Raw genomic sequence first — 25,487 nt, 5'->3', positions numbered from 1 at the left:
TACTTTTTAGTTTAACTTAGAGCAAGGCTGATAATGGTCCTTCCCTAAAGCCAATCCCCCTCCTCGTTTGGGGGTGGAAACTGCCTTTGTAAAGCTAATAAAAGGCTGAGAGATTAGGAGTATGGGAGAAGCCTGAACTCGGCTAAAATATAAGCATACTTTCTTTTTTTTTTTTTTTTTTTGAGACGGAGTCTTGCTCTGTAGCCCAGGCTGGAGTGCAGTGGTGCGATTTTGGCTTACTGCAACCTCTGCCTCCCGGGTTCCGGTTCAAGCGATTCTCCTGCCTCCGCCTCCCGAGTAGCTGGGGTTACAGGCATGCACCACCATGCCCAGCTAATTTTTTGTATTTTTAGTAGAGATGGGGTTTCACCATGTTGGCCAGGCTGGTCTTGAACTCCTGACTTCGCGATCCACCCACCTCAGCCTCCCAAAGTGCTGGGATGACAGGCATGAACCACCGCACCCAGCCTGTAAGCTGGGTAAGTAATCCCTCACTGCTCAGGAGGCATGTGACCAGAGGTCACAAAATTAGTGACTTTCCCAGTTGCTTCTAAAGATAACATCACTATTATAGAAACTACAATTGATCTTTTGAGATGCTTTTCAGACTTTTGCATTCTGAAAATGGACTGACCCCATCTGGACTCATGACTCACGACTCACGGCTTAGGGGGTCCTGTGGCCCCGCTCAGAGGTGGACTCAGCACATGAGGACCGTTTTCCACGCCCCGTGATGGCATCCCCAGCCAATCAGCAGCACCCACTCCCTAGCCCCCACGCCCACCAAACTATCCTGGAAAAAACTAACCTCTGAGCCCTCAGGGAGACTGACCAGTGATAACTCCAGTTCCCCCATGTGGCTGGGCTCTAATTAAACTCTGTTTTGACTGCAATACCATGGGCTCAGTGAACTGGTTTTGTCTGTGCTGCAGGCAGGAGGAGCCTGCTGGGCGGTTACATTCCCTTGTGTGAACCCCGGCTCCTGGCACTGCTCCCCATCTGCCAGGGCCCTAAAGTGGCCTCACAGCCTCTGCCAGCCTGTGCACCCTCACCAGCTCTGCCTCTCCCTCCCTACTGCCAGGAGCCTCAGGAAGGAGCCCCATGGAAAGACCAGCTTAGAACATGAGTGCCTGGGCGGCAGATGGTGACTGTGTTATCTGCTGTTACAGGGACAGAGACCATAGGTTCCTTCTCCCTCCTCTCCCTCAGGATGAGGAGCTTCTGATTAGCCTTCCCTGCAGCCCTGCTATGAGACACTGATTCCACCTGCCTTCATCTCAGCATATCTGGGAGGCCCTGTCTCCAGGACACGTCCCTGGGTGCAGGGTTTCCCCAGCTGCTCTCCTGCCCTGTGGAAGTTTGGGAACCTCAATTTGCCCGAATGACAAAGGTATTCTGATCCCCTCTGGCAATACCCCTGGGGCAAGGAGCTGTTTGGGATGAAGCAGCCTTGGTCTAATGGGGAGGAGCAGCATTAGAGAGAAGGCAGCCCCGCTGCTGGGGGGAAGGCAGAGCTGTGCACAAAGCACCCAGGATACCGCACAGAGGGGAAATCTGAGCCCCGCCTAGAGGGAGGGGGACAGAGAGGGTGTCCTGGGGCAGTGGCAGCCGCTCCTCAGGGGATAAAAGCCTAAATGGCACTTTGGGAGGCCAAGGTGAGCAGACTGTGAGGTCAGGAGATTGAGACCATCCTGGCTAACACGGTGAAACCCCGTCTCTACTAAAAGTACAAAAAATTAGCTGGGCGTGGTGGCGGGCGCCTGTAATCCCAGCTACTCAGGAGGCTGAGGCAGGAGAATTGCTTGAACCTGGGAGATGGAGATTGCAGTGAGCTGAGATCATGCCATTGCACTCCAGCCTGGGTGACAGAGCAAGACGCTGTCTCAAAAAAAGAAAAAAAAGATGCATAAAGGGTGCTTCAGGCCTCAGCCAAGTTAAACTGGAGGGGCTGCACAGGGCACTCTGGGTGGGTGTGATGCTGTGGGAACCGGCTCTGCTGACTCTCAGCACCCGCCTTCGAGCTCTGTGAGCAGTGCAGTGTGGCCACGTGGAGTTTGTGTGTGTGCATGGAAAAGGCCTTGGTGGCATGGGCACAGCAAGTAGGCTTTCCTTTCCCTTCTGTGGGACTGCAAAGGGTGCAGGTGGCAGAGCCCAGGCCTCTGGGCAGAGGTGAGTCACGTGGAGGGTGTGGGTGTGTTGAGGAGGAGTGGGGCAGGAGGGCAGGCCTCTGGAAAGGAGGGCTGGAGCAGGGATGCACATGTTGGGAGGGGAGGGAGATGGGGGCCCAGTGGGGAAGGGAGAAGCCACATCACACCGTGATGCTAACCTCAGAGGCCGGGCTCACCTGTAGCCTCTGCAACTGCCTCCCCACACCTGGGCTGTCTCAGCTCTGCACTGCTGAAAAGCTCTTCGCTCTCCCACACTCACAGCAGCACACTCACAAGTCTAAAAGGGGGAAGGCCCCCGAGTGTCCATCCCTGGAGGAGCAGACACACCAGATGCGGTAAATGCATGCAATGGGATATTACTCAGCCATGAAAAGGAAGGCAATTCCGACATCTGCTACAACCCGGTTGAACCTCAAAAACCTCACGCCGAGGGCAAGGATCTGGACACAGGAAGACAAGCACTGCACGACTCCATTTGTACCAAGTATCGAGAGGTGAACTTGCAGTGACAGAGAGTAAGTGAGAGGCTGCCCAGGATGGGAAAAGAGGGAAAAGGGGGCCTGCTTCATAGGTATGGGATTTCTGTTTGGGAAGAAGAGACAGCTCCAGCGATGGATGTTGGTGATGGCTGCTCACCATCCTGAATGCCGCTGAACTGCACACGGAGAATGCTTTCCATGTTATACGCATCTTACCACGATGACAGACTTATATGGCCTGGATGTGTCCCTGCCCAAGTCTCATGTTGAGCTATAATCCCCAACGTGCAGGTGGGGCCTGGCGGGAGGGGATGGGGATGTGGGGGTGGGTTTCTCATGAATGGCTTAGTTCTCATGAGATCTGGTCATTAAATGTGTGGCACCTCCCTCTTGCGCTCTCTTGCTCCTGTTTGTGCCGTGTGGGATGCCTGCTCCCCCTTCGCCTTCCACCATGATTGGAAGCTTCCTGAGGCCGCCCCAGAAGCAGAGACCACCATGCTTCCTGCGCAGCCTGCAGAATTGTGAGCCAAGTAAACGTCTTTTCTTATAAATTACCCCGTCCCTTTACAGCAGTGTGAGAAGGAACTAAGACACCAACAGCGCAGACCCTAGAACTGGAGCTGGGCGCTGGGCATAGAGCTGGAGCCGGGTGCTGGACATAGAGCTGGAGCCAGGCACTGGGCATAGAGCTGGAGCCAGGCACAGGGCATAGAGCTGGAGCCGGGTGCTGGGCATAGAGCTGGAGCTGGGCGCTGGGCATAGAGCTGGAGCCAGGCGCTGGGCATAGAGCTGGAGCCAGGCGCTGGGCATAGAGCTGGAGCCGGGTGCTGGGCATAGAGCTGGAGCCGGGCACTGGGCATAGAGCTGGAGCCAGGCACAGGGCATAGAGCTAGAGCCGGGTACTGGGCATAGAGCTGGAGCCGGGCACTGGGCATAGAGCTGGAGCTGGGCGCTGGGCATAGAGCTGGAGCCGGGCGCTGGGCATAGAGCTGGAGCTGGGCGCTGGGCATAGAGCTGGAGCTGTTTGCTGGGCATCCAGTCCTGTTGCCGCTTGGCTGGCCCTGGCGCGACTCCCCAGTTTCCCGCACCACCCCTGGCTTCCCTACCGCTTGCTGAAGCTCTTTTCTCTGGACGTCTGCCTCGGTCTCAGGGCCTGCCCAAGTGCCCTGAGCCCCCTGGTTCCTGGTGTCCTATGCCCAGGCGCAGGCAGACCCTCAGGCAGAGCTCTGACACCCACACCTTCTGCTTGCAGTTCAGACACTGTAGTTCCCGGCCCTCCTTTCCTGTGCTCCCCCGATGCCACAGGCTGACCCACCCCCAGCCATGGGGGCCAACTGGGGCCCAGTCACCCGAATACAACTGGAGAGCACAGAATCTGCCATGGCCGCCGTCCGCAGTGGCACCCACCCTTTACTGACGGCACCCTGGCACCCCTCTCTGACAGCACCCTTGGTGGCCCCACCATGGCCCTCAATGGGCTCCTCTACAGCCAGGTCCATCCCTGAGGGAAAGCTGAGCCGTACCTCGGTGGCTCTGAGTGACCCCTTTGAACATATTTTCGTGCAAAGAGAGGCAGAAATACCGTATGCTCTTGATGCCTCTCTCCACGCATCCTCATTTGTATGCAAATACCGCTTGACCATTCCGGAAAAAATCCGCTGGGCTTGACCCTTGGTGCTATTGATTGGTTCATAACAATAACCCTTCCCAATTGCAAAAGGTCACCTGATGTGTTTCCCTCCTCTGGCCCCCGCAGTCCGAGCCGCCCCTGCCCCCCCATCTCACCCTCCCCACTATGCAGCAGCTCCTGCTAGGCCGAGCCTCTGTCCTCAGGGACACTCTAATTATTCCGGGCCTGAAACAACACCCTTCTAAATCTGCACCAGCGGAAAAGAGCAGAAACATCAGGCTCTATGTGAAGTCAGGGAACTCTTTAAAGTCACCAGCCAGCGAGGAGGGTGAGGTTCTGTGGTCTCCTTGGCCGAAGGAATGGCGTTGCTCTCATTACCTGCGGCACGCTGGGCCCGGAGAGGGATAGGGACAGGATCTGATCTAAAAATAGACGTTGCTTCCCACTGTGAGCCCCACAGAAGGCAAGGTCCCTTGAATCAGACCCAACAGTCACATCTTATCTAAAAGGGGTGGAGACAATGGCCCACATGGCTCTCCCAGACCTAGAGAATGGGCTGTCACCAGGCCACTGCCGAAGCCCACTGAAGGACCCATGCAGATACAAACATCTGCCCCTCCAGATAACGAGGTTCCATTTCCCACACACCTACATCACCACTGACTTAATACCACTTTCGTAGAGCAAAGCCACAGTAAATATGATGGCCCCAGGTATCGAACAAACCCTTTAGGTCTCAAAAGCAAGACTTGACCATTCACTGAAGCTGTCAGGAAATTCCAGCTCTCAGCTGAGCCCATCTTTCCCTGCCAGTGGCGTGGAGACCTCAGCCCCGACAGCAATGTGTTCAAGGAGAAAGAACGCTGCTGGACACCTGAGGGGCTTGGCCGCAGCGTGCCTGGCTGTCCCCACCACTGTGGCCCTCTCTGGCAGTGGGGTTGGGGGTGCACGGAGCTTACCAGCCTCGCCGACAAAGACCTCCACGGGCGCGCTGGCTGGGCTCTCGCCGATGATGTTATAGGCGGTCATTATTACTTCATAGCGCCGGTACTTCTTTAAATCTGCAGGGTTGAAGGAAATATGGATCAGCTTCCACCAGGACCACCTTCTCTTTCTCCAAAGTTCCCCCTATGAACCACAATGAAGCAAGGAGCACCCTCCAAGGAGAGGAGGCGGGATTGTTAGAAATCTGTGAAATACCTGCATCCACTGTGACCGGGGCACCCTCCTTCTCTCCTATTAACTAAGCACCCACCACCATTAAGCAAAAGACGTACCCATCCTATCCTGTGTTCAGGTAAGAGGCAGCACGGAGCTCCCTCCTCTAAAGTAAAGGATTTAGAACAGGGGTCCCCAACCCCTGGGCCACTAGCCATAGCCTGTTAGGAACCAGGTCGCAAAGCAGGAGGTGAGTAGCGGGTGAGTGAGCAAAGCTTCACTGGTATTGACAGTTGCTCCCCATCCCTCGCATTACTGCCTGAGTTCTGCCTCCTGTCAGATCAGCTTAGACTCTCACAGAAGTGCAAACCCTATTGGGAACTGCGCGTGCGAGGGATCTAGGTTGCGTGCTCCTTATGCCTTGCACAACCTGGCTCTCTTGCACGTGCTGTTCCCAATAGGGTTTGCACTCTTATGAGAATCTAATGCCTGATGATCTGTCGCTGTCTCCCCTCCCCCCAAGATGGGACCGTCTAGTTGCAGGAAAACAAGCTCAGGGCTCCCACTGATTCTACGTGATGGTGAGTTGTAGAATTATTTCACTCTATTCTATATTATGATGTACTAATAATGGAAATAAAGTACACAATAAATGGGATGCACTTGAATCCTCCCAAAACCATCCCCTACCACCTGGTCTATGGAAAAATTGTCTCCCACAAAACCCACCCCTGGTGTCAAAGTGGTTGGAGACCCCTGAGTTAGAATACATAACATAACCTGGGCCTGCCTTTTGGTTCAGAATCTCTCCTTGAAATTATGAACAGATAGAGTAAGACTGTGGCATTGAAAATAGAATGTAGAAGGACGCTGGTAACCAAAGGCCTCTGAGACCTTAGCGGCCGTGTCCTGGGAAAGAACGGGCGTGGGCTGCTGTACACAGAGAACTCCTTAGGGCAGGGGGCCAAGCACCAGCTCCGCACTAAGTGACAGGGTGAGAATAATTGACCTTTAAGCCAAAACATTCTGGAAGGTTCTCCCACTGGTTAACACTGCTCTGTGGGTGGCTTGGCTTTTCCGAGGTCCCATGTGTGTGCCTGGCACCTGTGTGCTGGTGTGGATGGTGGTGTGCTTGGGCCTGCAAATTGTGCCTCCTGCCAGCTACCAGCCCAGCAAAGCTTCCGTGACTCAGGCGCCCGTCCTTGGACGGCTGCCTTCAAAGAGATGCTTACAGGGTCCACCCATGCTATGGAGTCAGTATCTCAACATGTTGGAGCTGTGCTGCCCTGCAAATCACTCCCACCCCTACAGAATGCCTGAACACAACATAGGCTCGGGGAGGGCCAGCCCCTCCCTCCTGCCTGGTCCACTTCCCAAACCAGCCAAGTTCTGTGTGTTGAAGTCGATCACATTATGGCTCCACGTCTAGCCCTTGAGTTGGATTTTGAAACTCCTCCCTAGCTGGGAATCAAAGGAGAAACAACGTGGTTTATTGAAAGGGTGAAGGGAGGCTGAGTGGAGAAACAAAACGTGGTCTTTCATTCGATGGGATATTATTCAGTCTTGACTCAGATTCTGATGCCTGCTCTCACGTGCTTGGACCTTGAAGACGTTAAGCTCATGAAACAAGCCAGCCACAAAAAGACAAATACTACATGATTCCCCTTCTATGAGGTCCCCAGAGTCGTCAAATCCGTCGAGACAGAAAGTTGAATGTGGATGCTGGTGGGGAGGGGTATAACGAATTAGTATTTAATGGGGACAGAGTTTCAGTTTGGGAAGATGAGAAAGTTCTGGAGAATGATGGTGACGGCTGCATAACAGTGTGAATGTGCTTAATGCCACTGAACTGTACACCTAAAAATGGTTAAGAAGGTCCATTTTCTGTTATATGTATTTTACCACAATAAAAAAAGAAAGGCTGGGTGCAGTGGCTCACGCCTATAGCCCTAGCATCTTGGGAGGCTGAGACAAGAGGATCGTTTGAGTCCAGGCATTCAAGACCGGCCTGTACAACATAGCAAGAACCCGTCTCTTAAAAAACAACAACAAAACACAATTAGCCAGGCATGGTTGCATGAGCCTATAGTCCCAGCTACTTGGGGGGCTGAGGCAGGGGGATCACTTGAGCCAGGAGTTCAAGGCTGCAGTGAGCTGTGATCGTGCCACTGCACTCCAGCCTCGGCAACAGAGTGAGACTCTGTCTCTAAAAAAAAAAAAAAGTAAAGAAAAGAAAAGAAAAAAGAGTGTTTCTTTAAAAAAAAAAAAAGGAAGAAGGAAGTTGGAGAGATCAGAGATCTTGTTCTATCTGGCTTTCCTCTCTGTCCCAAACTTGAAGACCAGATATTAGTAAATTTCCCCAGCCTCTGTTTCTAGAAGCTTCTTTTCCTATCTCCCTGGTGGTTTGGTATGTGGAGACGCAGCGTTTGAGAGGCGATTCCAGAACTGGAGCCATTAATCCAGGCTGGTTTTCCCTTGCACTGAGAGACCAGCTGGCTCTGGGCACAGTGTGTGCGCCTCGCGGCATGGGCCTCCCGCTGAGAGCGCACTTACGTGTTAGTTCACACATCGTCGATGTGGAGCTGCTGTTCACCGTCTTGAAGCTGCTTTGGGCTATTGGGGTAAGCAAAGCAGAAAGGTGGTTAGCACGCAGGGACACGGCCATCGCAGGTGATGTGCGGCAGGAACAAGGGAGACAGGTGCCTTACTGGGATGCCAGCCACTTCCCACGCTGCGCCTCCCGGGGCAATAAAGACCCCGCTACCGCCCAAGCTTTCCACCAGCTCCCAGTTGCGGGGGCTGCCGCACCTCCTCGTAAACAACAAGGCACCCCAGTCCCGGACAGGCGGGGTGTGCTTACCACTCTGATTCAGTGAAACATGCTAGTTTTTGGCACAACTTAGCACTGAGTGGCAGGACACCTTTTCTCCCGGTCACCCCGGGGCAGGTGCAGCTGACTCATGCTCACGCAGGGAGCCCCGGCTGGAGGAGCCGAGCAAACCACCTCAGGGAGAGCTGCGCGACCAGGTGCGTAAGCCCAGCCGCATCCCGGGGCCCTTCTACTGTGCTGTTTTGATTTTGCGACAGAGCCCAGGGAGATGCCAACTGTCTGGTGGTCAGCAAGGGCCACCTTTGGGGTGTGCCAACAGTGCAGACACCAGTGCTGCAATTTCCCGTCTTCAACATTCATCAACATCATGCCTGGCGCTGTACTGGGGTCAAGCTGTGTGAGCATAGGAGCATAGGAGCTGCTGCCGTCCGCGCACTGGGTGCGTGGAAGGCCCCGCGGCTGGCATTGGCGCGTGAGGTAGGCAGCCCTGGTGCCACAGGGATGGCAGAAAGCGGGAGGGCACCGTCCACACGGCGTGTTCTGGAGCTGCTTCTTCACTCTGTCCCCGGCACGAGGATGTCAAGGGGCAAAGAGTATTTTTGTGACACCGTTTGGTGGGTGCCAGGAAATGAACCCCCTCTAACCTCCATCCAACAGAGGAGGGGTGGGAACGGGCAGGGCAGCCGTCCCTCTCCAGGGTTCTAGAAGCTGTCTTGAAGGCAGCTGGGCCCTCGTCAGAGCAACGATCATGGCGCAGTGCAGGCAGAGCCAAAATCAGCCCGGGGGTGAGCACCATGGGCTCCACGCTGAGGCTGTCTGGTACAGACAGGCGGGGCCTGTCCCTGGACTTGGGTTTTGCAACAGGTTCCTACTGGCCCCCTGCCTCCATCTCAGGTCCCAAAGCCCTTCCCCACTGACGCCGGTAGAGTGCAGTCACTGGAGGCCTGGCAACTGCTCTCCCCTTAACACAGTCTGTGGTAGACAAGGCCCCTCTGCCTCCGCAGCTGCACCCACCTGCCGCACACCTGCACCCTGTGTGCCCCTGGTGGGTAAACCCGCCTGCTCCCTGTTCCTGAGGGCAGGGCTGCCTCTTCTCTCAGCCTCTTCCACAGCGTTTCCCACCATGATGTGCACTGAGCAGATACCAAGGGTCCCCTGGGAACCTCCCTCCCTGTACCAGGACAGAGGGGACAGTCTCACCTGTGAGCTCAGCATGTAAAGCTATAGGGTTTTTGAGCGTCTTGGCCTCAGTGCCTGACCCGGCTTCATACTCCAGCTCCCTGTAGTAGATCCTGTATCCCTGAAGAAGGCCATTCAGGCTTTCGTCCCTCGGAGGCTGCAAAGACATCACACCGACTCAGCCACACCATGGGAGTCAACCCAGCTGGCCTGCAGCAGGGCTCACCTCCACCCCTGTTTAACTAGCCAGCTGCACAGAAGAAAGTCGTGGGTTCCAGCGACAGGTGTCAGATTCATCAAGACGAACCCAGGCAGCTCCCAGGGCACAGCACCAAGCTGTGGAGATACTCTCAGAATCCCAGTTTTCATGTGCATGTGTGTGGGGACATCAGCATTTTGACCCCTGTCCAGCTCAAATCCTCAAATGAGCCCCCAGGCTGGGGCAGGAGGCTGGGGACAGACACAGACGGCGAGGAGGCTGGGTGCTGTGTGGTGAGCCCAGAGCAGGGTGGAACCTCGAGAGGCGGCCTGCTCTGAAGCACCCACCAGCTGACCCCACCCTCCCTCACTCCCCTGGCCATCCAGGCTGTGGCTGCCGTACTGTACCCCTCACTGATGCCTCCCCATGCCAGGCCACCCCACTGTGCCGGACTCAGTCCTCAGGCTGGAATCCCCATGGCCCCTCGCATGATGGCTGGCCTGGCCTATCATCTTGCGGTCCGGTGATCTGCTTCAGCTGCCCCAGGCAAACAATACACCCTTGCCATCCAGCTCTCACCCTGCAGTTCTTACCAAGCCATGGCTAGGCGCTCATTAGACACACATTAGACTCCCATGGAATAGGGAGCACAGGCAGATAAGGAAGTGGAGTTTCAGGTCTTGCTGGAATCTAAACACAGGGTTATGAGACCTCAAGACCTGTCCACTTTAGGATGTGGCTGTTCACCACTCGAGACCCAGCGCAAGGCTTGCCTTTTCCTTCAGTCGGTTTCTGTTTATAAGTACATTTGGGGAGGATGTTTCCACGCAGGAGACAAATCTGAGACTGAGAAGGGTCCTCCCACTCCAGGCGGATGCCCTGGAAAGCCTCAGTGACTTCTGCACTCATCTGGGTGCTGAGCCTCCGAGCATCTGGTCTCTTCTTGGGATACTCAGATGAGGGATAAGGAACAGGAACCTTCTAAGCTGTGACCAGAAGATGGCTGAAGACGAGGCCACGAAGCCTCGTCAGAGGACGGATGTGCACAGAACTTCCGGTGTCGGGCTCACTGTGAGGCACCCACACCGCAGCACCATCCTGCTCCCTGGGCGGAGCCACAGCTTTGCTGCACGAGAGCCCCTTTGCTGTGGGTTGAACTGTGTCCCCCTAAAAGACACGCTCAAGTCTAAGCCCTGTTGCCTGTGAACCTGACCTTATTTGGAAACAGGGTCTTTGCACGTGCAATTGGTTTTGACAAGGTCATACTGGATTAGGGGAGGGTCCTAATTTGATGAGTGGAGGGAAATTATGAGAAGAGGGAAGTTTGGACACAGGACACACAGGGGGAACACCCGATGAAGACAGGGACAGAGACTGGAGTAACGCGTCCATAAGTGAAAAACGCCAAGAGTTGTCATCGGCCACCGGAAGCTGGAAGAGGCAGGAAGGATCCTCCCTGGAGCCCTCAGAGGCAGCAGGACCCTGCCGACACCTTGAGTTTGGACTTTTGGCCCCCAGAGCTGTGAGAGAATAAGGCTCTGCCCTTTCCAACCACCTAATGCGTAGTAACTTGTTTTGCTGCCCCCGGTAAATAACACATCCTTGCAATCCAAACTCTCTCTGGTCCTCACTATCTGAACCCAGGCACCAGGAGGGGTTGGATGTTTAGAGAAATCGCTTTTTCTTTGGACTCTTGCTACTCACGAGGCAAAACCCAAACGTGGAGGAAGCGGTGTTCTTTGCTCCCCAGGCTCTCCGACAGAATGGCTTGGATAGTGAGGGGGGCTTGCACTGTGGTAGCAACGAGGAACAACACTCACGCGTTCAACACTCACGCATGCAGCATGCGACACGCACATGCCAGAGGGGCACCGTGTGTACCCGGCAGACTCAGGAGGTTTTCCAAAATGAGGCCTGCTACCACATTAGCTCAAGCAGCCCCCAGGCCACTGCCATGCAGGGCTGCCAGCAGCTGTCCCTCTCTGAGGACTTTCTGACACCCCTGTGATGCTCCCAATTCAGGAACAGCACGACGGGATATAATCCCCCCTCAGACGCGGAAAAGCATAACGGGAACAACTGAGTGGCCTTGCTGGGTCTTTGCGATCCGTGTCTTAGAGGCCCTGCAAACCCACACCCTTAGACACTACTCCAGCCTGGACACAGCTCCGCTCCTGGCCCAGGGGTGTCGGACCCCAGTGAGCAAACCCAGGGGCTGAGAGAGCTGTCGTCTGGGGGTGGGGGCGCGTCTGAGTCCCCTGTGTTCCCCCCACGGTGTGCTTGTCAATGCCCCACAGCCCTCTTCAATTTTGCAGAAAGTTACAAGGGTCACGTATCCATCCTGCGGGCTTGCAGCCCCAGGTCCGAGGACTCCCGCTGCCCACCACAGACCAGAGATGGGGAAATGGCACTGCCCGGCATCTAGCTCCAAATTCTCAAATGGACGGTGGAGTTGGGCTATTATCTGGGAGGGACTTTTTTTCTGCTGGCTTTTCCTTTTCTCTCTTTACCCTTCACTGGCCACCACCAGTGGATGAGGGGACCTTGGTGCCGGCTCTGCTCCAGCCTCTCTACTCTGGCCCTGGCTGGCCGCCTTCACGGGGCTGGAGCATGCTCAGCTACCAGGCCAGAACCGCCGAACCAGAGCCCGGGACTTCAATGTCAAATGAGGCTCTCTTGATTTTTTTGCTTTTTTTAAAGCTATAAAAAAACAAGACACCCAGCTAAATCAGAATCTGAAAATGATTCTTCTGGAATTCAGATGTAACTGGGCATCCCAGGTTTTCTCTGGATACCCGCTCCCTCCCCGGCGCTGCTTGCCTTCCATCGGGACAATCTACAGATGGAAAAGCTTTTCAAAGCGCCTCCAGTAATAGAGCTAGAGAAACAAAGCAGAAAGTGAGCCAGCACAGATGAGGGTCTCTCCAGGGTGCGGTGTACCCGAGGCGGCGGCAGACGATCAGCAAGGCACGGCAGGGTCCCTGGGGCACGTGGCCACCCCATCCGTCCACACCCTGTGGCCACTGACCCCTTTCTCCAGCAGGCACCCCTTCACCGGCTCAAGGAGTTCCCAGCACTACTCAACTTGCCAGGAAAACAATAAAATCCAAACCTGACCAGGGAGCTATGAGTTTGGGAAGCTGAAAGCTGGCAGAAAAGGAAGGAGTGAGAATTACAGGCACAGTCGAGGCTGGATAGGGGAACAGGTAGGGGAGGCTACAGTGCCTGCTGATTTTACTAAATGCTCTTTTCCTTTTCTATGATTTTGACGACAAAGCAGTGTTTGGGACGCCGGCAACAGTCACTCACAGGTGTCCTGGGCTGCTCATTTGCTCTTTCTCCAGCTCCCCCATGCCGGGCCGCCAGTCCTGCTCTGCACCCCATCCCTTAGGGCTGGGCATGTCAGACAGTCTCCTAAAAACTGGGGGTGTTGATGGGGTTCATGTTCGGTTTCCTCCCTGTGGAGTCTATAGAATCACATTCAGAGCAGCTTTTAGGTTTTCAGTTGTTTTACTCTTAGTCTTTAAAAATTAGTCCCTTGTGCTAGGAGTGGGCACCGGTCAGTATTATATGCAACTGCAATCTGGCTCCCGACAGTGTCGTGATGAAAGCACCACCAGAGATGTGGGGGCGTGGTGGAAATCCTGTGTGTGCATAACACACACACACTTGCACATCCACTCACATCACCACACAAGGGGGTTCCAGGTAGTCTGTTCTGTTCTTTTTTTTTGAGACAGGATCTCACCCTGTCACCCAGGCTGGAGTGCAGGGGTGCGATCAGAGCTCACTGCAGCCTCGACCTCCTGGGCTCAAGCGATCCTCCTGCCTCAGCCTCCCGAGTAGCTGGGACTACAGACCTGCACCACCACACCAGGCTAATTTTTAAATTTTCTGTAGAGATGACGTCTCACCATGTTGCCCAGGCTGGTCTCGAACTACTGGGCTTAGGTGATCCTGCAGTCTGCTCTTTCAAACTCTAGCCCTGGTTATCTCATGGGCCACAGCTGAGACTGAAATTAAAACCCTTATTCTGTAAGGCATCCTTCTTCAAACACAACTGTTAGCCACAATGAAATAGAAGGTTTACTTAACCTTCTTAGAAGAAATACAATGGATGGAAAAGTTGGAAAAGTCGGTATGTGAGACTGAAGAGAGGCAATTCTCCGCAGGCCATCTGGATTTCAGAAAGAGGAGACAGAGTGGTTTCTGTACTGAGCCCCAAGGAAGTGTTCTCCATGGCCGTTTGCTTTCCATGGTCATTCTGCTGACCCTAAAGAATACAGCGCATCTGTCCTGTGTGACTCGGGCCACTGCAAAGAGGTGGCTCTAAGGGAGGCAGGAGAGCTCTGTGCCCAGGGGCCCTCCCGCAGGGAGGGAGGGCAGTGCCAGAGCCACCAGGAAGGCCTGGTGCTGTGGCTCCTTGAAAAGCTGCACCTGTCTCCTCACACTGACTCACCAAGAGCTCAGGGCATGTTACTGGAGGAATGCACGCAAACACTGAGCTCCGCCCCTTGGGGAATATATTCCAGCCTTGCCGTCTCATTGCATCTAGGAGATCTCCTGAGCTATAGTGCACCGGGTGCCAGAGACTGAGTGAGGAAGGCGGCTCTGAAGCCTCAGAGACGGCGAGCTCACTGCCAGGAAGAACTGGAGGATAACTGCAGGGAATGGCGTTTGAGCTGCCCTTGGAGGAGGAGGCGGCTTTTGATGAGGGGAGAAGGGCTGGCCCTCTGCAAGGCGGGCACAGTGCCTGGTGTAGCCCCACTAGACGGGAGCGAGGGGCATGAAGGGCAGGGGCAGGTCTGGGTGGGTCTAGGAGCAGCAGCCAGGCTACAGGTACAGTTCCCAGTGCCTGAGCCAGGACTAGCCCAAGTGCCGGGTCATTCCCCACTTGGGTGGGCTCCCCAGAAGGAGACTGGCCAGAACGGAGCTTCCTCCAATCCACCGGAGCCATGGATGGGCTTGGTGGATTCCTGGGTTACTGCTACTCCCGGTAACAACCAGTCTTGCAAAAATGCACTGACAGGAGCCCTTTGCTGAATGAGAGATGGCAGTGACTTCCAAGACCCTGGGGGCTTCTGACTTTCCTCTCCTGGGCCCCTGACAACCACACAGCAACAGGTCCCCGCTAATGGCTCTCACCCAGCACATGCCTGCGCACCCAGAGAGCCGGATTGTTTTGCCCAAGGCTCCTGGTCCACCCAGATGGTCCCAGGCGGTCCTGCTGGGAGTCCTGTCCTTGCTGTTCACACTGGTGGTGGGGTGGGAGTGGCTGGAGTCTGGGCAGTGAAGATGAGAGACCTCAGCTTCCATTTCTGGGCTCTGGACTGACTATCAGCATGACGAAGAGGCGAGCAGACAGATCAAAAGCTTACAGCAGGGGCTCTGTAAGTACCAGCCAAGCAACCTCGCCCTGAGGTCACCTTCAAAGCCTCCCTCTCGCCCCAGAATAGACCTGCAGCAGCTCGAGGAACTGGTACCTCAGAAGGAAGACTGCAGAGGCCTTCAGCCAGCTCTGCAGATGCACAGACAAGACAGGATTACAGAGAGTGCAATTTACTTCTGGGGGAGGAGGGAAGCTCAGGTGGCGTGACGAAGGCTGGATTCAATTCACCAAAACTATCAACTAAGCAGGAAGTTAGGAGGTTGGGAAAATAAAAATGTTCTCCCTGGGCCCAAGTGTGGTTTCCCAGCCTCTGGGGCTGGAAGATGGAGGGGAAGGGGCCGAAGATTACTGATCCTGGACTCACAGATATTTCTAGCCTAGGCGAATGAGATGATTTAGAGCTATAAGAAATGGCCAATCCGCCTTGCCCAACAGACACAGTGTCCGTCAGCCACCGGGCTGGGGCCACATTTGGCCAACAGGCTAACTGATGCTGTTTGCACCAGAAATCACTGAAGAGTCAAAATGCATCCGCTCCTGGCAGGAGTCTTCCAGGCCTGGGGAGGGGGTCCAGGCGGCCGTGCCCCCAGAGGGTGGCTTCCTTGAAGGCAGCAGCTGGCAGAGGCCACTCTGCTAGCAGGTGTCATCTTCCCAGTGGGAGCGTCACTTACAAAGGGTCCGGTGGCTTCACAGAGATGCCCGGGCCTGCCTGCACAGGGTTCTGAACTGGGTTCAACCATATTTTCCATTCCTGGACTTTGGGATTAACCTGTCTGTAATCTGTGAAAGAGGCTCTCCAACTCCGGAGGTGCTCGGAGGCATCAGCAGGGCGGCTCCATGGAACCCATGAGGTCAAGGTCAGGCTCTAGATTTGGGTCGTGGCCTTGCAGCCACCTTGCAGTACAAGCTTGGGCTGACTGCTCAAACTCCCAGGCTCAACCCTGTGCCCAAGACAGGCAGAAGTCTGGCCAGATGGCCTCCAGAGTATTATATGACTGGAAACAAAAGGTTCGCTTTGCACCACAGACCCGTGTCCCCAGCCCTTCGCATGTCTCTGACTCTGCATATGCCCAGGGGCAGGCCATGTTCGGGTCTTGTTCATGTTTAAATGCCCAGAGCACCTGGGCCAGGCCTCAGCCATGGCGGATGCTCAGTCAGAGCCCTGGGGTGGAGTGGGACTTGCCGGAGTTCAACATGACCTCATCTGTGTGTCACTGCACCCTGGCTTGGCCATCTGTGTGGAGAGAAGCTTGAAGGGAACTGGGAGTCCTGCCTCAAAACACCTTCCCTGTGCCTGCCACGCCTCAGAAATTCGCCAGCAGCCTCCTGGAGGTTCTTCATTTTTCAAAAGCCCGTTTTTTTGTTGCTGTTGTTGTTTTTGTTTTTTTCAAGACGGAGTCTTGCTCTGTCGCCAGGCTGGAGTGCAGTGGTGTGATCTTGGCTCACTGCAACCTCCTGGGTTGCTCACTGTAGCCTCTCGGGTTCAAGCAATTCTCCTACCTCAGCCTGAGTAGCTGGGACTATAGGTGCCCGCCACCACGCCCGGCTAATTTTTGTATTTTTGGTAGAGACGGGGTTTCACCATGTTGGCCACGATGGTCTCAATCTCGACCTCGTGATCTGCCCGCCTCAGCCTACCAAAGTGCTGGGATTACAGGCGTGCCACAGCAAAAGAGCCTGTTTAAATGCAAATGACCTGGTAGGAGTGTGCCTGGGTTTTATCACCAGGTAGGGGAGGCAGGAAGAAGTCAATGGTCTGGGGAAGACCCAGGAGGGTGGGCACCTTGGAGCCACAGAGTTGAGTGGAGGGAAGGCCTGGGGGTAGGAGGAGGCAGGACCTGCAGGGAAAGCCTCTCTCCTTCCAGCTGCCTGAACGGTGACCTCGGACCCTCTGCCGTTGCTGGCCTCTGTGGAACCTCCCACCCAGCTCTCTCTGCTGAGGTAGGGGAGCAGCAGGGCAGGGCCTAACTCTCCTAGTTCTAGAGACAGGGAGCTGGGCTGAGGGAGGCTCAACCACGTGCCACTGTCTCCTGCGAGTTCAGGCAGAGCAGGTGCCCAAATCCAAATCTGATCCGGCCACCGTGGTCCCCCGGGCCGGAAGCTCAGTGAAACCATCTGAGCTTTCACTTTCCATCCTGTGCCTTCTGCTTTGTGGAGAGTAGAACAGGGATTCTCTCCGGAGTTTGGTCCTGATGGTTCTGAGAGCACAGGAGGCTCAACACGCAATACCCGTGAGACACAACATCAAACACCAGTGACGTCACCCGTGAGCCTTTCCTCAGGCTGTGCCGGGGGCCACGCGCTTCTCCAGCCTTTCACTGCAGGGGCCTGGCAGTCCTGCCAAGTGCATTCAGGTGCCCCTCTGGCCAGAGTTAGTTTCGTTCCTTCTGCTGTCTTCCTATCAATGCCTTAAAGAGCCCACTGCGCTTAATGAAAGCTCTTCACATTCTGTGGCCTGCCTCAGTCCCCTCTGGAACTCAGCACTCCATGCAGGTGTTGGTCCTCTGTGGGTGGCACAAGTGAAGAGAAAAAGAAACAGCCCCAAGATGTGTTCTGAAGCGGCGGGATGCCTCCCTGCCTTTGCCCAGGCAGATGTAACCCTCCTCTGGGAAGGTGCCTTTTACACTGAGAGCCTCCCGTATGGTGTGATCAATTGCTTGGGATTTTTTTCTTTGCTAGAAAACAGTCTCAAAACCCACTTACAGGCTGGGCAGTGGCTCATACCTGTAATCCCAGCACTTTGGGAGGTCAAGGAAGGAGGATCGCTTGAGTCCAGGAGTTTAAGACCAGCCTGGGAAATACAGTGAGACTCCATCTCTATGAAATTTTTTGAAGAAGTAGCCAAGCATCGTGGTGCACACCTGTAGTCCTAGACACTGGGGAGGCTGAGGTGGGAGGATTGCTTGAGCCCAGGAGTTGGAGGCTACAATGAGCTATGATTGCGCCACTGCACTCCAACCTGGGTGACAGGGAAAGACCCTGTCTTTAAAAGAAAACACAAGGCTGGGCATGGTGGCTCATTCCTGTAATCCCAGCACTTTGGGAGACCAAGGTGGGTGGATCACCTGAGGTCAGGGGTTTGAGACCAGCCTGGCCAACATGATGAAATCCTGTCTCTACTGAAAATACAAAAATTAGCCAGGTATGGTGGTGCAGGCCTGTAATCCCAGCTACTTAGAAGGCTGAGGCAGAAGAATCACCTGAACTCGGGAGGCAGAGGTTGCAGTGAGCCGAGATCGTACCACTGCACTCCACCCTGGAAGACAGAAGGAGTTCTACTCCTTAGCTTTCAAACAGAACTGGATCCCATGAAAGGCAAGGATTGACTGTCCTACTAAGAATAATCAAGCCTGACAGTCTACTAAGGGAGGCATTTAAATGGGTCTATAAGCCTTGAAATTACAGCCCGTGTTTGTTTGTTTGTTTGTTTTGAGACAAGGTTTTGCTGTTGTTGCCCAGGCTGGAGTGCAATGGTGCCATCTTGGCTCACTGCAACCTCCACCTCCCGGGTTTAAGCAGTTCTCCTGCCTGAGCCTCCCGAGTAGCTGGGATTACAGGCGCCCATCACCACGCCCGGCTAATTTTTGTATTTTTAGTAGAGACAGAATTTCACCATGTTGGCCAGGCTGGTCTTGAACTCCTGACCTCAGGTGATCCACCCGCCTCAGCCTCCCAAAGTGCTGGCCCTGTGTTTGCATTTTTAAAGTAATTACTAAAAAAACAAAACAAAACAAAACAAAAAACACAAAAGGTTTACAGGTGAAACATTTTATTTGGAATGCAAATCTATATTTAAACCTAGTTTCTTTTTCTTTGTTCTGTTTGTTCTAATGCAGTAAATTACTCATAATTTTAATTATACTTCAATTGCCTGGCAGTTGACAAGCATTTATTTCTACAGGACGTTGTATTGACCACCTCCTGCTCTGGTCTTCTTGCAATTAGTTTGTTCTGTTGGGCTCTGGAGGGGGACGGCTGATGCACACACCAGCCCAGCTCCTCCAGGTGGCACTAGGCACGTCCCTGAGCTGTCCAGCAGCACCAAGGGGAGCTCGAGCCCTGCACCGTCCACTGGGGCTGACAGCAAGTGATGCCTTCACAACCATTGTTTGGAGGAGGTGACGCATCCCAGCCCTGATGCTCACTGCCTTTATAGGAAAGGAGCTTACCTAGGTAAGGTATTGGCAGGCTGCCGCCACGTCTACAAAGAAAATGTGAATTTTCTGGTAGGATTCAGCATGGTACAAAGTGCCAATGTTCTTGTGATTGACTGTGTTGGTGCAGGCTGGGAAACGAGCACTTGGGACTTTGCATTTCCATTTTGAATGTCTCTAACCTCCCACCGGAGACCCTCACGGGAGTCAGGGCTGAAGCTCGGGTCTGGGGGTCTAGCGGCCCCCAAAGACTGGAGATGTTGTGTGAGACCTGAGCTCACCTTTGTGACCTTCTGTTCTTACAAAGGAGGAACCTGGAGTCAGAGGGGCCTCTCAGGGCCACAGTCACCCGATGGCAAGTTGCGGGTGGGTCCTTCGTCACTTTTCCAGTGGCTCCCAGACAGATCAGGGGCTGTGGCTTCCCAGGGGCAGAGGTGGGGCCCAGGCTGTTTTCGTGGTTCCCACTCTGGCCCCCCTATGCTCTGGTAAACTCAGTAGGGCTGAGTGCCACAGAAGTGCTCTTCCAGTTCCACCAGGAGACACTGGGACATTCTTTCATTGCCTGGAAAGGTTCCTATCCTACCCAGAGAAGCTGGATCCCTTAGCAAGAGAAAGGCAGCCGAGACGCAGCCCCGCACACCTCCATGGACACTTGAAGGAGATGACACACTCTTCACAGAACCCAGCTTGTTAAACGCCTACTCTCCATCCCTCAGATAAGTGGCAGTAGCAAGTGATATCAGGTTGAATCACATAAATTGCCACTTTCATACCTCAAACATGGTCATATTTCATAGGATCATACAGCAAGAGGGTGAAAGCGGAGCCCCTCCCAAGCTCCCCCTGGCTGGCCCCACCCACAGCCCAGCCTGGCTCTGCTCACCGGGTTCCTCTCTGGCATCTCTAGCACTACGCACCTCAAGACCATGCCCAGGAAGGCTGCGGCTGGCGCTGCTCACTCAGCACGTCTCTCTCCCGGCCCAGCAGGCATCTCTGGCACCTCCTGTCCTAGCCTGGTCCTGGACCTCATCCTCCGTGCTGCAAAGTGAAGCCACTGTCCCTTGGAGTGGCCCTTCTGCAGGGCCCTGGGAGATGCTCTGTCTGGGACACCTACTGGTGGCCTTGGCTGTGTTTCCCAGCATCCCTTCCATTTCCCGCAGCCCCCACTTTCCACAGGACCCCTTCCTGCCTCCCCTGCACCGGCGGAGGGCATGTGGCCGGGACATCCCCTCGCCCTCCAAGGCCATGTCTAGACCACTGTTCCCCTCTTGATTTTCTCCTGACTTCCCGAACCATCATTCCCACCTGCTGCATCGGGCACCCTGCCATTGTCCTTGAGGACAGCTTCAGCCCCAAGGAAGAATCTCGTGCCCACCAGACTGCCCTCCTGACCCCAGCTCCCAGCAGGCACTCCCAGGCTGACCTGTCCTCATGCCGTACCCACCCCATGCTGGCCCCATCCCACTATGTTCCCAGCTCCCTGGCACAGCAGCCCCCATTCTGGCCTCAGGAACCTCCCTGTGGGCCAGAAACTTTGACTCTGCCCTCGTGCTTGGCCCCCTGCCTGTCCATCTGTTGTGTCTGCTGCCAGGCCAAGCTCTAGCCCTGGGGAAACTCAACATCTGTCTGCCCCGGATCCGGGCTACACAGGCCCTGGGCTGAGTCCTCCGCACAGCTCCCCGCCCCACTCTTCAGCTGGGATCTCCCTGGGGCCTGCAGCCCTTCCTTGGGCAGTTTTGTCCCTCTGTTATATTTGTCATCAATGTACTTGTCAGTAAGCATTGCCCAAAATTGAAACTAAGGGAAAGAGACGGCAGCGTGTCCTTCAATGCCTTACTGGAGCATTGCTGAGCAGGCCCAACAAGGAGTGTGTGATTATCTGGAAGAATATGCCTTCATTTAACTCACTGCACATTGGAGATTAAAGGCCTAGACTTGGCTGGGCACAGTGGCTCATGTCTGTAATCCCAGCACTTTGGGAGGCTGAGGTGGGTGGATCACCTGAGGTCAGGAGTTCAAGATCAGCCTGGTCAACATGGTGAAACCCCATCTCTACTAAAAATACAAAAGTTAGTTGGGTGTAGGGGCATGCGCCTGTAATCCCAGCTACTTGGGAGGCTGAGGCAGGAGAATCGCTTGAACACGGGAGGCAGAGGTTGCAGGGAGCCTAGATTGTGCCACTGCACTCCAGCCTGGTGACAGAGTGAGACTCTGTCCCAAAATAATAATAATAATAATAATAATAATAATAATAATAATAATAATAACAACAACAACAACCACCACCACCACCACCACCCACCCCCAGACTTTGGGAAAATATGTACAATCCGGTAGATATTTTGTCTGGTTGCAGATGACTTCTCTAGAAAAGCTAACTCCAGCGGTTGCAGTTTTACTGCCTTGTAGGGCGATAACCAATTTGTGTATACACAGAAGCCTTGCTCCAACGTCCTCGGTGAAATGCCAAGACATACCCAGTTCCTCCAACGCTCTCAGACTGGCCTCCCCATCCTGCCGGTCCCTCCTGAATAAGGGGAGTCAAGTTCATTCTCTACGTGCATCACAGTCCTGCTTCTAATGTTTTGGAAATTACACCGAGATGATAATTGACACCATTTCCCCCTCGCGTTTTTGAGTCTGAGGGTGTGTCTCCTTGGTTCTACTCTCAAACGCTTAGCTCAGGGCTCAGCTTGCAGTCCATGTCAGCCGTTGTGGCTGAATGCGCAGGGAAATGAGAACACATTTGACAAAACGCGCGTGATTCCCCGCGCTCTTACCTGCCACTGTATCAGGACAGAGGACGTGGTGTGTGGCGTCGCTGAGACAGATCCCGGGGGCTCTCCTGGAACTGAAACACACAGGAGAGGAAAGCGGGGGTCAGGGTGGTTGTTATGTTCTGCCGCCCTTCCCAGGGCCACCCTCAGTGAGTATGGGGAGGCTGGTGAGCCCTGCCTCCTTCCTTCTCCAGGGGTCCCCTTCTCCTGCCCTTCCTCGGGGCTTCCCAGAGCTTCTCCTTCAAAGCCTGTCCTCGGGATAGGAGGGAGCCAACCTTAACAATGGCCCCGAGAAACAGACCCAGACTGGGCTCTCCCTGTGGTGGACATTCCGAGAGCCACCCCTCCAGTGAGGCTGTCCTGGAGCTCTCTGGCTCGAGACCCTCCCTGCAGGGCTCAGGTCTTCTGGGAGAGCAGGGGAACTTATCTTTTTCTCTTTTTTTTAAGATACCTAGGTGAGAGCTACTTTTCCTGAATAGGACACATGATCATGCCAGGTCACTTGGTTTGAAACACTAAAAGGCTGTCAGGAAAGGAGATTGATTTCTGGTGAGGTTGCAGCTGGCTGGGACAGCAGGGTGAAGTGAAGGGGAGTCTGCCATGGTTCTGCTCTGCTCTCTGGAGGGACAAGGCTGGTTTGACCTCTGCCTATGGCCATGCCCTGCACTCTAGCCAAACTAAACTTCTTGTCATCTGCCACATCCAAGAGGTCTTCTGTGCCCCTCTTCCCTGCCTCCTCTGCTCCCTCCAAATCTGTGTGGTCCTGTCTTGGCATATTGAGCTGAACTCTTATGCCTCCCAGCTGTAAGATCCCGGGGGCCCAGCAGAAGTGTGACACGCATTCTGTATCCAGTCCATATTCACTGAACGGAATGACGATGTTCTTCCCACAGGCACACTTGTGCATCTAGCAGATGCCTCTCCACTTAGAACCCAAGATTGGGTCCCGGGGTCACCGGCTCTGTGATTTTCCTCTGGACCTGCCAGACACCCCCTCCTCAGCCCTGGCAGTGCCTGCATCAGTCACACCTCCACCTTCCCCGTTCTGTTTTAGGGATGGGTCTCCCTCCAACCCCCTTAACCTCCTGTGGTTCCAGCTTAATGGTGGGCCCTCTAGCCAGCTTCCTGACAGCCCTGGTGATACAGCGGTGCCATTACAGGGAGTTCTCAATGTCCTTGAGTTGTGAGGTTGTGCAGGGAAATAGAAATCACTATAAAAAGAAACTGTTCATCAGTAAACCGTCCACATACTCAGAGGACTCTCCCTATCTTGCCGAGGGTTCCCCAACCCCTGGAGAGAGTCTGTGCCTGTCAATCTCTAGATAGTGTAAGACAATACAACACAAATACAATGCAACTCCATTGCAAAGAGAAACTGCACATCCCAGGGAAGGCGATGACAAGATAGGTGCATCAAAGCCCAATCTGAATATCAAAGGGTAAGAAAGGCCTCTGGAGTCTGAAGAGGCCCTTCAATATTTTTTTCAAAAATGGTCCTTTTGGATGCTGCCCTGGAGGTCAAAGGAGGCTGTTGCACTTTGCTTTCACACAATCTGTCAGAGAGATTACGACAATGACATCAGCTTGTGTGGGGTTTTGTTCTTTATTCTAAGATTTAGTGCTTAGTTGCAAACATTACCTCAACTGTGTTAAAGGTAACGTTAAAATGAATGCATTTATATAGTTTTTGTTTTGTAATTTAGTTCCTGCAAAGCCTTTCCCTTGTGGTTTAGTGTGAAATTGGTCCCCACTTTAAGTAGATTAACCGGAAAGGCTTTTCCAGTTACAAGTAGCTTTTGCCTCCAGGTTTGCTAACAATAAAGTGGTGCAGTATTTGCATGTAACCTGCACACATCCTCCTGAATACTTTAAATCATTTCTAGGTGTAACCTGCACACATCCTCCCGCATACTTTAAATCATTTCTAGGTTACTCATCAGTCCTCCTACAACGTTATAATTTGTAATACTGTTACATAACAATGTTACAATGTTATAATTGTAGGAGCTCTCATGAGTAATCTAGAAATTGTACAAGGTCATAACACTCTCCAAACAAATACACAGTTGTTACACTGTATATCTTTAATTTGTATTTTTAACTTTTTTTCTGAACATTTCAATCCACAGTTGGTTGAATCTAACGATGTGGGACCCTTGGACAGTGAGCTCCTGGGGCTCAGCCCGGCTCCTCAGGGCCCAGCAGGGCTCACTAGGGCCCTGGACCACCCCATATACCCGGGACGGCTCCTCTCTTTCTCACTGGCTTTCCCCAAAGCTCCAATAAACTCCCAGGATTTGTGCTCAGAAAAGAGCTGGATGAGAGGCAGGAGCCACAGAAGCCAGCCAGTGCTTTTCCAGGGGCAAGTGTGCTTTTCCTGGGAGCACAGCTGGGGCCTGTTGGAGGCTCTTGCAGGTTCTGCTCTGCTGGGAGTGCAGGGTTTGCAGCAAAACAGCCTCTGTGAGTTGCTGAGAAGCCGGGAATGGTTTGCTCAAACCCTCTGCTGGTCCCTGAGGCCAAGGGAGGCCTATGTGGGAGAAACCACACTTCCAGGTCATCGAGAGAGCAGAAGTGGAGATGTGAGGTCACAGGGTGAGCCAGCTGGAAATTGGTTTATTGGAAAATTCTTCCACTGGAGCGTTAAATGGAAAAGACAGTGCTTTGGGGATAGGTTGCGGGAATGATGATGAAACGCTGCTGGGTGAACTAAGTACTGGGTTTCCAGCCTGGGAGCTGAGCTATTACCCACCATCCACTCTTTTCCATCCCACCCGTCCTGTGATCACCGCTGGACGCGGCTGATAGAGCTGCCTCCTGGGCTCGCCACAGGCCTGGGCCACACAGAATAACAATCCATCTTCAGGCCTGACGCCGCCGAGGTAGGACGGAGCGGCTGAAAACGCCACCTGGAGCTCTGAGGAGACCTCGCTTCCCATCACTTACCTGCGCTGTTGTCAAAGAGTGGCTCGTGAATGAGAAAAATGGGGAAAATCTCTTAAAACCCAGCTACCCGCTGACATTTATTTTTAATGACCCTATCAATTATTCAATTTCTGGGATGCTAATGGATAGTAGGGGCTTTAGAAGCCAATCAAAGAAACTTCCATTCCATTTGGAAGCCCTTGAAACCTTGATTTATGACCACAGGCTGTGCGGAAACCCTCCGAGCTGTCTGTCACTAATGGAATTCTACTGCTTTCCACCACTCCCTGGTGGCCCCTTTCTGGCTCAAGACGAAAGTGTGGCCTAAGTATCTCGGGCTCCAGGGGCAGCGGCCAGGAACGCGGTCTGGGCCCCGGGTTGCTCACCATCCTGCAGCGTGGTCACCGCCTCTGTCTCTGAACTGAAGTCACTGTCCCCAATGTCGTTGGTGGCTTTCAGGCGCAGCTTGTAGGAGGTGAAGGGCCTCAGTCTGCAATGTGGAAGAGACCGTGACTGCCGGGGCCCTGCCACCCTGTCCTGCCCTCAGGCATTCCTGGTGAAGCCCTGGGAAGAGGGGCAAATCCCTCCCCTGCCCTGAGAGC

The 25,487-nt window shown here is 54.1% G+C and overlaps 1 protein-coding gene across 6 annotated transcripts in view, besides 4 other annotated features; it reads right to left on the bottom strand.

Moving 5' to 3' along the window:
* Nucleotides 1-25,487, bottom strand: part of SDK1 (sidekick cell adhesion molecule 1) — a 967,749-nt gene that overhangs the window by 85,178 nt on the left and 857,084 nt on the right. For 4 of the 6 annotated variants that reach the window (NM_152744.4, XM_047420037.1, XM_024446683.2 and 1 more), the window contains 5 exons: nt 25,272-25,375; nt 21,967-22,037; nt 9,466-9,601; nt 7,989-8,048; nt 5,237-5,338 (listed from right to left, as the gene is read on the bottom strand). In NM_152744.4, the coding sequence (NP_689957.3) occupies nt 5,237-5,338; nt 7,989-8,048; nt 9,466-9,601; nt 21,967-22,037; nt 25,272-25,375 (473 nt within the window). The remainder of the gene's footprint in view (nt 1-5,236; nt 5,339-7,988; nt 8,049-9,465; nt 9,602-21,966; nt 22,038-25,271; nt 25,376-25,487) is intronic. The other 2 variants (XM_047420038.1, XM_024446684.2) reach the window with 1 other exon arrangement.
* Nucleotides 1,568-2,068: an enhancer, noted in NCBI's record as "H3K4me1 hESC enhancer chr7:4221387-4221887 (GRCh37/hg19 assembly coordinates)". NCBI's record gives its function as "activates a minimal SCP1, AML or CMV promoter by ChIP-STARR-seq in naive H9 embryonic stem cells {active_cell/tissue: H9 hESC(naive)}" and the evidence as "EXISTENCE:reporter gene assay evidence [ECO:0000049][PMID:30033119]".
* Nucleotides 2,069-2,569: an enhancer, noted in NCBI's record as "H3K4me1 hESC enhancer chr7:4220886-4221386 (GRCh37/hg19 assembly coordinates)". NCBI's record gives its function as "activates a minimal SCP1, AML or CMV promoter by ChIP-STARR-seq in naive H9 embryonic stem cells {active_cell/tissue: H9 hESC(naive)}" and the evidence as "EXISTENCE:reporter gene assay evidence [ECO:0000049][PMID:30033119]".
* Nucleotides 8,906-9,329: a silencer, noted in NCBI's record as "fragment chr7:4214126-4214549 (GRCh37/hg19 assembly coordinates)". NCBI's record gives its function as "represses an EF-1alpha promoter that drives an FKBP-Casp9 reporter gene in an ReSE screen in K562 erythroleukemia cells {active_cell/tissue: K562}" and the evidence as "EXISTENCE:reporter gene assay evidence [ECO:0000049][PMID:32094911]".
* Nucleotides 14,375-14,875: an enhancer, noted in NCBI's record as "H3K4me1 hESC enhancer chr7:4208580-4209080 (GRCh37/hg19 assembly coordinates)". NCBI's record gives its function as "activates a minimal SCP1, AML or CMV promoter by ChIP-STARR-seq in naive H9 embryonic stem cells {active_cell/tissue: H9 hESC(naive)}" and the evidence as "EXISTENCE:reporter gene assay evidence [ECO:0000049][PMID:30033119]".

The sequence above is a fragment of the Homo sapiens genome, chromosome 7, assembly GCF_000001405.40.
Source record: "Homo sapiens chromosome 7, GRCh38.p14 Primary Assembly".
NCBI lineage: Eukaryota > Metazoa > Chordata > Mammalia > Primates > Hominidae > Homo > Homo sapiens.
Note: the sequence above shows the minus strand (reverse complement) of the source record. Positions and strands in the feature narration are given on the sequence as shown.